Source organism: Homo sapiens, chromosome 15, assembly GCF_000001405.40.
Source record: "Homo sapiens chromosome 15, GRCh38.p14 Primary Assembly".
In the NCBI taxonomy this organism is placed as follows: Eukaryota; Metazoa; Chordata; class Mammalia; order Primates; family Hominidae; genus Homo; species Homo sapiens.
The window spans coordinates 56,485,834-56,498,909 of NC_000015.10; the positions used below are offsets into that span (position 1 = coordinate 56,485,834).

General features: G+C 42.4%; 1 long non-coding RNA gene across 4 annotated transcripts in view, besides 1 other annotated feature; it reads right to left on the reverse strand.

Moving 5' to 3' along the window:
* The window catches only part of LOC105370832 (uncharacterized), a 126,090-nt gene that overhangs the window by 6,327 nt on the left and 106,687 nt on the right, over positions 1-13,076 (reverse strand). For 2 of the 4 annotated variants that reach the window (XR_007064652.1, XR_007064651.1), the window contains exons 2-4: positions 11,080-11,240; positions 9,850-9,958; positions 6,315-6,667 (exon numbers count right to left, since the gene is read on the reverse strand). This is a non-coding gene — a long non-coding RNA (uncharacterized LOC105370832). Of the gene's footprint in view, positions 1-4,613; positions 5,109-6,052; positions 6,190-6,314; positions 6,668-7,622; positions 8,199-9,849; positions 9,959-11,079; positions 11,241-13,076 lie in introns of those variants that run through there. The other 2 variants (XR_007064650.1, XR_007064649.1) reach the window with 2 other exon arrangements.
* Positions 5,358-5,652: an enhancer, noted in NCBI's record as "tiled region #15328; K562 Activating DNase unmatched - State 12:CtcfO". NCBI's record gives its function as "activates a minimal TATA promoter and a strong SV40 promoter by Sharpr-MPRA in K562 cells {active_cell/tissue: K562}" and the evidence as "EXISTENCE:reporter gene assay evidence [ECO:0000049][PMID:27701403]".

Genomic DNA, 13,076 nt, shown 5'->3' on the forward strand with positions numbered 1-13,076 from the left:
TCCACCTAGATTTCAGAGGATGTATGGAAATGCCTGGATATCCAGAAGTTTGCTGCAGGGGTGTAGCCCTCATGGAAAACCTCTGCTAAGGCAGTGTGAGAGAGAAATGTGGGGTCAGAGCCCCTACACAGAGTCCCCACTGGGGCACTGCCTAGTGGAGCTGTGAGAAGAAGGCTTTTGATTTTAACAGGCTCATAGGTAGAAAGGACTTACATTGTCTCAGAAGAGACTTTGGACTTGGACTTTTTAGTTAATGCTGGAATGAGTTAAGACTTTGGGGGACTGTTAGAAGGGCATGACTGTGTTTTGAAATGTGAGGACATGAGATTTGGAAGGGGCTGGGGTGGATCGATATGGTTTGGCTGTGTTTCCACCGAGATCTCCTCTTGAGTTGTAGTTCCCATAATCCTCACATGTCATGGGAGGGACCCAGTGGGAGGTAATTGAATCAGGGGGGCAGTTACCCTTATGCTGTTCTCATGATAGTGAGCGAGTTCTTATGAGGTCTGATGGTCTTATGAGGAGATTTTCTCCCTTTTGCTAGGCACTTCTCTTTCCTACTACCATGCAAAGAAGGATGTGTTTGCTTCCCCTTCCACTATTATTGTAAGTTTCCTCAGGTCTCCCCAGCCATGTGGAACTGTGAGTCAATTAAACCTCTTTCCTTTATAAATTACCCAGTTGCAGATATTTCTTCATACCAACATGAGAACAGACTAATACAGTCCCTAATATGTATTCTGCATGCTAATCTCTGTCTCTAAGACTGTTTCTCTGGGAACCCAAGATGAAATACCAATGTAATCAAATGTTTTGTTTCTAATGTTATTAAAATGTATTGCTTTACATTAAAGATGTATACATTTTTAATAATCATTTAAAAATATGATATTGTTTGGATATGTTAAAATTACCTGCTACAGAACCACTTTCCTCTGGAAACAAGTAGGGCTGGTTGATTTGCTGTGATGGAAAAACAATCAGGAGTGCAAAGGGCATTTAAAGTAGGCTACAAAATTGTTAAGTCTCCATACTTGAGAAACTATACTGGGAATTGAGAAATGGCATTGGAGTTTACGTAGGGGAGAGAGAAATTAGGGGGTTGCTAGTCCCAGTGGGGATCCACACAAAGTTTTTGTTGTTGTTGTTGTTGTTAAGGCCTCTAGCTATACAGCTTCTTGAAGGCTAGGACTGATTCCCACAAAGAGCTCTGTCAAAGGCATTACAGCATAGTGAAGATGACTTCGTGTGGCCATCATCTGCCTTCTCTCTGTTCTTAGTCCCCTCTGCTCTTGGTCTCTCAGAACATCTTTTCCCCCTAATATTTTATAGCCAATAGAAATATGCTGAGGATATTTGAATTTTAGAAGAGAATTCAAAAGAAGGTACAATCTTTCAACATAGAAGCATGAATCTGAATTGCCAATGAAAGAGTTTCGGATACTATAACTAGAGCAGGAATGGTAATTTAGGGGAGACAGACAGTCTACCCAGCGTTGACCCAGATAATCTTCCTGAATACCTTTAATAGAGTCTTTGATTAATTGTGCCTTGTGCTGTGATTACTCATCCACCCCACACTGACACCTTGGTCGTGCAGTTTGCCTCACTATCAGTTTGAACTTCAATTCTGGATTTGACAATTCATTCAACAAATAATAACTAAGAACCTACCAGGTGCCAGAGACACAGTCGTAAAAAACCAAGACAAGGTCCCTGCCTTCTACTGGAGGAAGACAAAGAAACAAACAGATAAGCAAATATCATTGTTGCAGAAAGCAAGAAGGGCTAAGACAAGAATAAAGCAAGGTTAAGTTAGAGGACAACCAGGTGACCATTTTAGCTGTGATGAGTGAGGCCACTGAAGACCTTTCTGAACAGGTGACATGTGAACAGACACCTGAATGGTGAACATCAAGTCGTGAAGATTTAGGCAGAAGAGCATCCCAGGCAAAGGCTTGTAGTAGGAGCACAGCAAACAAAGGGGAGAATGACAGATGGGTTGGAGCAGTAGGCAGGGGTCAGAGCAAATAATTTGGATTTTGTTCTAAATAGTTACAGAAGGATTTTTTTTAAAGAATGAGAAATACGATGTGATCTAAGTTTGCAGAGATCCCGCCAACTGCTGCTTGAGGAGAGGGCTGTAAGGGAATGACAGTGAAGTCAGGTGAAGCAGTTGGAAAGGTAGAGTTATAGAGCAGGTAAGGTTGAGCATAGTGGTGCTCTGTAGAGGTTATGGGAACTGATTGGGTTCAGAATGAATTTTAGAAATAAAACCAACAGGACTTGGCAATGGATTAGGTGTAAGGAATGACAAAGAGATGACTCAAATATATCTCCCAGGTGTCCTTCCTGGCATAACTGAATGAATGATGGTACCATCAGTTGGGATGGAGAACACTGGAGGAGTAGACTTGGAGGCCAGGGAAAAATAAAGACTTGTGTTTGGACGTGTTAAATCTGAGATGTCTACATCCTACTGAAGATCTTAAATAGGACACTTGTGTATATAAATCTATAGTTCAGAAGAGAAGCTGGGGCTAGAAGTATAGATCTACACATCAACTGATAAAGATGCTTTTGGAACCCATGGGACTAGGGATATCAAGGAGATCAAGGGTATAAGAGATCAAGGACTGAGCCCTGAGGAACTTCAATATTTACAGAAGTGGTTTACAACACTCCATGCCCATTGAAATTACCAGAAGATTTTTTTTTAAATGTTGAACCTCTACCCATCCTTCACATATCTGATTTAATTGGTCTGGGGTTCAGTTTGAGTATCAAGAAATTTTAAAACTCCTCAGTGATTCTAACGTGCAGCTAAGGTGGAAACCACTGATTAAAAACTGTTAATTGTAGCTGTTTGACAGGCTGAGGGGAGAATCACGTAAGCCCAGGAGGTCAAGGCTACAGTGAGCTATGTTCATACCTTACACTCCAGCCTAAGTGACAGAGCAAGACCCCATCTCTTAAAAAAATGGGAAGAGAAAGCTAAGCCAGAATTACTAGAATGAAAAGAGCCATCAGCAAGGTAGGAAGAAAACCAGGACAGTAGTATCCTGGAAGTTAAGTGAAGAGACTGTTCCAAGAATGGCATGATCAACTGTGTCAAATGCTAATGAGACATTAAGTAAAATGAGAGAGAGAGAGAGAGAGAGAGGGGAGAAGGACATGAGGGTGTGGGTGACTCAAATGTGAAAAGCTTTTATAGGATGTAGGGGTGAAGGCCTGCCCAGCACAGGCTAAAGGGAGTGGATAGTGAGAAGGCAGAGATTGCTGCTGTGTGCTGTGTCCCTTCTGCCCTGGGCCAGGGTCACTCAAATGCTAGGCTCACATCCAGCATCTCTGGCTGCTCCTTGTCCCGGGGCTTGGATGGCCAATGCCCCTCAAATAACACTATCTCAATTACTTATTCCAAAAGCCAGTCAACATTTATTCCACAGCTCATTGAATACATACTCAGCACATACATGTGCTAGTTATTGTTAGGTAGTGGGGATACAATGCCAAATAAGTTAGAGTTCTTGCTCTCATGAAACTGTCAATTCATTGAGGAAGAGGGTCACAAATAATCACAACAAAATAGCAATCTTGATTCTACTTCCCCAATGTTACTCTTCGTTCAACTCTTATTTCCACTCACCTAGTTTAGGCCTTGAAAATGAGTAATAATGTCCTAAGCAGCCTTCCTGTATCCAGTCTCTCCCTTCTTGCCAATCTAGTTTAAACCTTGCTGCCAAATTCCTCTTTCTGAAACACAACCCTGTTCATGTAATCTGTTAATTGAGGAAGCCTTCATTGAGCACCTACTAAGTACAAAAAAAATGCAAGGTCTTCCCTCCTATAATGTAGGGTCAATTTATGGCTCAAAAATCCCAATCATGTAATATCGATTAAGAAGTAAACTTAGCAGATATCTAGTCCCCACCAGAATCTCCTATATTAATCTCTCTATAAATGATAAATGGACAGCTGGATGGAGAATCCATTTTTTTAAAAGGAGCCAAATACATATTCAAGAAGCTGGAATTTTTACAATTTCTTCCTCCAGTCCCGCTTCCTGCTCAACAGAATACAAGCTTCTTCATTGCCATTCAAGACCTTCTGTAGGCCAGGCATGGTGGTTCACACCCATAATCTCAGTACTTTGAGAGGCCAAGGTGGGAGGATCGCTTGAGCCCAAGAGTTTGAGACCTGCCTGGACAACACAGTGAGACCTTGTCTCTACAATAAAATAAAATAAAAACTAGCTGGGCATTGTGGCATGCTCCTGTGGTCCCAGCTACTCGGGAGGCTGAGGTTGGAGGATTGCTTGAGCCCAGGAGTCAAGACTCCAGTGACCCACGATCATGGTACTGCACTCCAGCCTGGGTGACACAGCAAGACCCTGTCTCTTAAGAAACTAAAGTAAATGAGAAGCTGAGGCGGGAGAATTGCTTGAGCCCAGGAGTTTGAGAACAGCCTGGGCAACATGGTGACACTTCATCTCTGCAACAAATACAAAAATTAGCCTGTCATGGTGGTGTGCACCTGTAGTCCCAGCTACTCAGGAGGCTGAGGTGGAAGGGTCACCTGAGCCCAGGGAGTTTGAGGCTGCAGTGAGCCATGATCACACCACTGCACTCCAGCCTGGGCAACAGAGTGAGATCTTCTCTTAAATAAAAATAAAATAAAAAGACCTTCTGTAGTTTGACCCTAAGGCACTCATGTCTTAGTTTCTGATATTCTCCCTTTACAGTACCCTCCCTGGATGTGCTTTCACACCACCACACTTTCCCCTTATTCCACATAATCAAATATTACACATCCTTCAAAGCCAAGGTCAAGGTCCACCTTCTCCATAACACCATGCTGAGTCCCTCAGCTGACTCATTACCTCCCTCACCTGAGATCCCTCAGGCTTTACTTTTACCTTCCTTAGGGGTTTCTATCTTTGATGATTGGTGCACCTGTCCTTTTTTTCATGCCTCATTGAAAGGTCCATGAGATTTGGGCTTATCTCCTGAATGTCTCCGTCTCCTCCATGGTACCCAGCATAGTGACTTGGAAGTTTCACTTGACAGACACTCGTGGAATGAACAGAGCAGTGATTCTCGGATCTGTTTCTTATTTTGTGAAAGGAGAAGCTTTCTTAACATACAAACATTTCTACTAACTCTAATATTATAATTCCTAAATTTAAAGTATTAGCTAGTATTGTATGCCTGATACTGTGTTTCCCATTTCGAAGACACAATTGTGACTTTTTGGGGGGAAAGAAAATACACAAGAAACAATTCACTTATAAACTGAATATAAAAAATGCTAGTTGTTAGCAACAGAAAATAACAAAGTTGCTCATACTGGGAGGACATACATGTAGTCAAGAGTCACCAGAGCATTAAAAGGAAGAGGTGCTAGCTGAGCTGAGCTTTGAAATCCCCATACAGTTCTTAAGTCCTGGGCATTTTAAGCCGGGAACGAAGGCTCAGTCAGGGCCACTAGAGGGAGCCAAGGCTTGCAATCTGCAGAACACGCTTTCTGGCTGAATTAGCCTTGGGTTCACAGATTCTAAAACATTTGCTTAGCAGATTGAAAAGGATCATCTTTATCACACATCTACAGGACCATTTCTAAAATGCAAGCTATGTTGAGTTTATTTTCAGTTTTTAGTAATGTTAAACCCCTTTGGAGAAGATAAATATTAAGAACTTAATGTCTGTGCATTTCATGCCATTTTCGCCAGTGAATATATCCTGAGACTTATTGGTGAGCTAATCTGAGATATTTAACAACCCCTGATGGGGTTTCTGGGGATGGAGGTAGAGAAGGACCAGGTGGGATCCTGTTCTATTCCCCTCCCACCTAATCAGACTGGCCGGGAGCTGGGCTGTCCTGGACCCACCAGTTTTCAGAGCTTGAGGTTCTCGCATCATCAGGCCGGGAGTCTAGAGGTTACTACCCACACTTTCAAATACTAAGCCTGTGGGACCAATTATGGCCACCCCCCTAGCCTTTTCAGTCAGTCCAACGCCACAGAAAGCCCTAAGCAAGTAGTGTTTAAAAGTACCTGGATGTTCTGGGGCAGCAGTGTGAGCAGTCTGGCCACCGTCACCAGACCTGGCCCTAGTGCTGGGTCTTGATGGACGGCTCAGGGTGAAGGAGCGAGGCTCCCATTCAAAGTCGGATGATAAGAGTGAGGAGTAGCTGGAAGGTGAGGGAGAGTAAATGGCTAATGTCCTGATTGATTGCCCTGCCTCAAAGAGGGTGACACTAGACAAGGTGAAATCACAAGAAATCACACATTTACTAAATGATTAGCATGGATCATATTTTCTTGCCATGTATATAAATGTTTATTTGTACTAAAATTTGGGACACAGAAACTTAAGAAATAAAAAAAGAATATTGCAACTACAAAGCCATTGTGAATTATCCTCAGTATCCCTGAGAAGAACCCTCACGCTATGAGGAGGACACTCCAGGGGACCCCGGCATGGAGGGGTCTCCCATACTACTTACTCCCAGTGCCACCAGATAGACCAGCTGCTGCAGAGCCTGCAACGTGAGAGTGGAGTACCTGAGAGGCCCCCTTTTCATCCAAAAGCCACTTGCAGAAAGCCTCTTAATGTGGCTGTCATCCAGCTTCCAGCTAAGCTGAGGGCAGGAGACTGAAGACTCATGTCTAGAAAGAAGAAAGAATAGCAAGTTGATTGGGCAGTCTTCTAAGTTGAGTTTGCAAAAAGCAGTGCATTATCCAGTACTCCTCTGTGCCTCCCATACTGCTGTCCTGGCACCCTCATGCTTTTCCTCTCCCTCTAAATCCTAAGGGAATAAGAAAAGGGAGATAAAAGCAAGCAAACAGAAATAAAAAAAAAGGATATTGCGTGGAGACTTTCTTTGGCCACTAGAGATGCCCAGTGAGGGTGAGCCAGATGAGCAGAATCAAGAACAAGGCTGGAGCTGCTACTCCTAGAGGTGGGGCAGGACAGAGTTCCAGGCAGCATCAGGGAGAGAAAACAAGGGTGTCCTGACTTGTCTGGAACCTGCTGTTCAGGCTGGAGGGCTGTGGAAAGCCAACCCCAAGGAAGAGTAAGGAATTAAGAGGAGAGGTCTGAGCTGCAGAGGGCTAGGTTGCTCCTGTCTGTGCTGTCTGAACTGCTCAACCACTGTGGCTTTTCTCAGAAATAGGCTCCACCTGGCATCCCTCCAGATGAAGTGCAAACTCTAGAGGCAGAGTATGGGCTGAATTGAGAGAGAAGTGGCCAGCACTCATGCCCAGACTCCAGGAGCACAGTTTGAACCCTACATAAAATAGAGTGGGGGCCAGGACTGCAGCAGGTAGAGTAAACACACGGTCTAACGTGCTGGGGCGAGACCAGGTGGGGTCAGTGCCCTGTCTCTGCCTGACTCTGCCAAAGGAGAGTGGGACTGGAAGCTTCCCTGCACTTGTGGGGTGTGGATAATAGGGGACTAGTGAAATTTAGAAACAAGAAGAGAGGCAGCTTTCTTTCTATGGGGGAGCTGGGGTTGGCCACATCAAGAAGAGCTCCAATTCAGGCAGATCAAAGTGTTCTTTCAGTAAGCCCTCTGGAGGCTCAGTGTCTTAGTCTGTTTTGCGCTGCTATAACATAGCATACCTGAGAAGACTGGCTAAAAGCAGAAATTTATGTCTCATATTCCTAGATGCTGGCAAGTCCAAGATCAAGGTGTTGACATCTGACCAGGGCCTTCTTGCTGTGTCATAACATGGTAGAAGGACAGAGAGAGAGGGACCAAACTCGTCTTTTTATAAGGAACATGCTCCTGCCATAACCGCATTAATTCATTCATGAGGGCAGAGCCCCCATGATCCAAACACTTCCCATTAGGCCTCATCACCCAACACCATTGCTTTGGGAATCAAGCTTTCAACATGTTAACTTTGGTGGGTCAGGGAGGAACATTCAAACTATAGCACTCAGCATGAATTGTAGCCACAATCACAGTTGGCACATATGACTCTGTGGTCTGGTTTTAAATTGGACTTAAAGCTTGGTAAAGGCCAAAATGCATTCAAACTTGGGTACTCTTCCCCAAACCCCACATATCAAATCCTTCAAGATTGGGTTCAGGTGCCACTGTCTCCATAAAATCATCTGAGTCTCTCAGCTGACCCACTACCTCCCTCACCTGAGATTCCACAGCCTTGTTTTCACCTTCCACATGGGTTTCCATCTTTGATAACTGGTGCACACGTACTCTTTCTCATGCCTCACTGAAAGGTCTGTGAGGCCAGTGCTCCTTTCTTGGGCATCTCTGTCTCCCCCTACAGCACCCAGCACAGTGGCTTGGAAGTTTCACTAGATGCTTGTAGAACAAATAGAGCAGCAGTTCTCTGGATCTGTTTTCTATTGTGTTAAAGGCAGAAGCTATATAAATGTTTCCCCAAAGTCATTTTTCTGATTCTCTAATTTAGGTTAAGTATTAAATACCTACCACATATCTGATCTTGTGTGTTCTGATTTCAAAGAAATGAAAGACACAATTGTGATCTCATTGTGGTAACACAACATAGAAGGAACAATTAGACTATGAGACTAATATAATAAATTGCTTAATTGTACCACATTGTAAGAGGAGATCAGAAGAGGGAGAGCTGCATGTGGTCCAGGGAGGGAAGGGAGAGCTAAAAGGGAGAGTAGTTGGTTACACTAAGCTTTGAAGATGGGTAGGATGTGCACAGGATGGCAGCCCTACTGATGTTGCAGCCCTTGCCCTTGATGCCCTGCCCTGGGCCTGGAGCCTGCAGTGACCCATCTCCTAGAGCTGTCCTGGTTTTCTTGTTGTTGGTTATGCCTCCCAAGCAGAAATTGCAGTAGTTATTGAGAAGGGACAACCATCAGGACACTTCTTGGATTTTTGTTTCTCATAAACTGAGAAAACTGGGCTGGGCTGGCTGAGAGTCCTCCGTGACTACACCCTCCTTCTCAGCTAAGTAGGAACAAGTTTCATTACAATGCTTTCCACTTGTCAAACACAGACCTTCCTTGCCCTGATCAACTGGGATGAAAGCTCCCCACTTCTTATGGGGCCACCCACAATCTGAGGCTTTACCCTTGCCATGACACTTGGGGTATCTTGTTCAGAGTTCCCATCATCCAGCTGTTGGAAAAGTAATTCCAGTACTCAGCTGGTGGTCATAGAAACTTAACTGTCCTCAGTTCAGGGATATAAGATTCCTTTAAGCCCTTCTACCTGAGAGATTAGACTTTCATTCCCCAGAGTCTGGTCGAGGTCTGGTTTAATAGGTAAGACAGAAAGCCATGGATCCTCAGAGGTAAGTTTGTGCTTTATCTGTCAACATGAGACATGGTGAACAGTGCTGCCTGGAAACCAGTCTCAGGCCCCGGTTTTGCCCTTTCATCCAGATAAAGCAATTGCTCTGGAATAACATGATCTGCGAGTCCAACAAACAGGCACACCCTACACTCAGCACACAGGCTGGCATTGTTAATATGGCATGCTTTATGGCTTCCCAAGAGAGCTTTGCTATGTTTCCTACCATGGCCACCATTTTCCCTCCCCATATAAGTCTTTACATCTTCAGTGCCTAGCCCAGAACTGGCATGCAAAGACATTCTATAAATGATGCTGAATCCTGAGGGAGACACTTGGCAGATGAATGACACTAGCTAATACAGCGTTTAAAGGCATGGTGTGACACAAAGATAAACATAAATATCCTCTATTTCTTTCACAACAGTAACTTTGAAACCCCATCTTTTGGAAAAGCATTGTCTCCACTATGATGCACACGTCAATGATTCTGCTTATCAAATTCTGTTGAGCCAGCATGGAAGGAACAACTCTCTGTAGTCTATTTACCTTAAGGAGCTCAGTCACATGTCCAGCTCGCAGCCTGTTTATCAGGATGAAGGATGCTCTCTGGAGAGAGCAGACAGCAGGACAGGCCGGGCTCAGATGACAGTCTGCCCTGTGGAGATTGACTTTAATGAAGCACAGAATAAACAGGAAGATTAAGAGGGTGCAAAAATCAGTGACAAGTTCTAAGTTCACCTCTCTGTTGGAAATGAAATGTTCTCTGTACACCTGAGAGCTGTCTCTGGGCTATAGATGAGGGCATCTGTTTGGTTGCCAATGATTCCATGCTATCCAAATCAGCCTCTATGTGAGCGCAAAAAAGTTTTCTCTTAATTTACAGACGTACTTCTATGCATTTTATTTAAATCTACCCACAAGGAAATTTTATTTAGAATGAGTAAAAATATTGGATTTATTAAAGGGTTTGAGAAAATATTTAATAGGCTAAGATGTTACCCTGACAAGCAGAGATTAAATGTTTTTAATATTGATCTTTTATAAAGTCCTTCCACATTCCTTTGTGCTGAGAAATCACGCTTTCTCAGCCATTCGTGACATAAAGGTGTAGTCAGTCCTGTAGGGATGGCTCACCTTATAAAAGAACTAAGTTCCTGGATTTAAATAAAAACAAAAACTAGTTTTCTTCACAACACAATGCTACTTGTTTAGGAACTTAATGTCATTTAGACATTTCATTGTACATTGTTTCAGTTCCTTATTTCAAATATGATTTTCAATAAATATTTAAAAATCTAAGTTACAAAATAACCAGAGGGAATAGTCCAGAATTCACACCCATCTTTTGGAGATGACAGTTTTGTTTAGAGGATCCAAATGGAAATATTTTCTCATGTCATCATTGTATGTTTTTCAAAAACATAGATATTACTAAAGGTGATAGCAAAGTATTCATTTTATATATATAGCATATTCCTTATTATTTAATCAAACTGTGAGAACAATTCATGTGTATGTGTGGGTGTAAACATATTGAATGCTTATCGAGCATCATGTAATCCTGCTGATAGTATTGTAGCATTTGTACCAGTAGATGGCACTCTGATTCAAATTGATATTCTAAGCTCCCTGTTGTCCAGCAGTATCGTTTCTTCGGTGGTAAATGGTAAGCACAGTGTACTAATCTGCCGGCATGTACCCAAGTGAAAATGTGTCGTAACACAAAAGTAACTCAAAACAAGATTTGCAGACTATTTTAGGAAAGCTGACATGTACCTGGGTAGAGTGCACAGTCATAATACAGTAATCAGAATGCCTGGATCCAGAAGGGATTCGTTGAGAACTTCTCTACTGAAGGGGCTCGTTAAGTAGACTTCATGGAATGGAATGGAAGGAACATGTGGCAGCGAGAAGCAGATATTCTAGGTAGACGTTGCCTTTAGGAAGGTAACCAGAGAAGTAGTTATGAGGAATGTGATATAGTTTGGGTCTACCTTGAGGAAGTCCTCTGAGACAGGCTTAAAGTCAATATTTAAACTTCATACCATGAGGAGAAAGTGGAGAGGGGGCAAGAGAAACACAAGCTAAGCAAAAAATAAGCAAACAAGACATGGTCAGCCAAAGTTATGCCTGGCATCCAATTTTCACTTTTGATTATTTATCATAGTAAATAAAACTCAAATCAGCCAACTGAGCCGCCATTTTTAATTTGGGGTTGTAAATAAGTGTAAGTTGTTACATTTATATTTTACATTATGTAATTCTGGAGATAATTCAACATATCTTAGTCAAATGGAAACACTGAGTTTTCCACCTAAATGTAGAACTCTGAACCACATGTCTCCGGCACTTCAAAAAGCCATCCACTAGTCTTTAATTTTTCGTTACCTTAATAAGTAATTTCCTAACCTTCTGGCTGTTTCGTCTGCAAATTCTGTGTATTGTTCATTTATTTTGCTTAAACTTACAATAACCGAGAGGTCACAGGGAAAGAAATGTATGTGTGATTAGGATTTCATTTGCAATTATTTTTAGAGCATTTGAGGCAATGGAGGAGTCTTAATTGGTATTATACTTTCTAATGCAAATTCTAAGTTAAAGCAGGAAAGAGATGTTTTAAATAATTCAGCAGCAACTGTACCAAATGAAGAATTAGTTAAATCTCTTTAAGGTCTCAAGTACATAGTAAACCATTAATGAAAACTACGTTGTTTAATCTACAGAAAGTGTTTTCCGTTTGCCATATGTTACCAGGACTATCACTAAAATAGTAATTTACTGTGAGGATGAGGCTTTAAAATGCTGTGCTGAGGCCCTGGGTTCTGGAACCACTGGCTAGGTCAGCACTTTGTGGTTTTAAGCAGCGATGTGCCTTGGGTAAGAACAAGAGAATGAGGTTCATTAATTCTTGAAATGCCTTAAACACAGACATTCTGTACTTTTTTGTTGTTGTTTTCTTTTTTGGAAGGGTGAAAACATCCTTAAATAGGTTTAGTACAGAGATTGGTTAGTTCTCCTCAAGAATAATAACATCTCCCTTTGAATTTCCATGACTGTTCATTGGAACAGGGCTTTGAAATTTGCTGAAGCCAGGGCTTTTATGTGGCCCCCATTCTGACCAACAGAACCAGTCTACAGATGACTAGGTGAAGTTAAGCGTGGAGTGTGGTAGAAAAGCACAGAAGAAATGGAGCTGCCATGGTGCGGATCAAACCCATGACCGAAGTCGTGTGGGCCACTGCTCTTGAGCACAGCCAGTCACTCTGAGTTTGTCACTGCTGCTGCCATTGTATTGCAGGTTTGCTGGCCCTGGTATTTTAAGATAGTTGGTCACATTCCTTAACTATGAAAATACATGTCCTGTTCAGGTAAGTTCATATGACTAGAGGGAGGTGCAGGGTTGTATTAAGTGGGGTGAATGGTAAAAGATTAATCTAGAATAATAGGAAAGAGGGTCACATTATGGAAAATGTTGGACACCCAGGACTTGGGTCTCATAGAAACAGGTCTGAGGCTGAGAACTTAAACACATTCTGACTTAGTCCCAGTAGTTTATTACACATTTGCCAAAGGAGTTGTAACTTAAAATTTTATTTCCAACCATAACCCACAAAAAGAATCGCATAGCCCCTAAAATATTCATGTTATTGCTGCTGCATGTTCATGCTAGAATTTGAGGTTTGCCTTCAGCTACACCTTAGCACAAAAGAAATCATACTAAAAATAATTGCCATAAAGGCATCAACTTGCTCATTTGCTCTCTTTCACTGTAA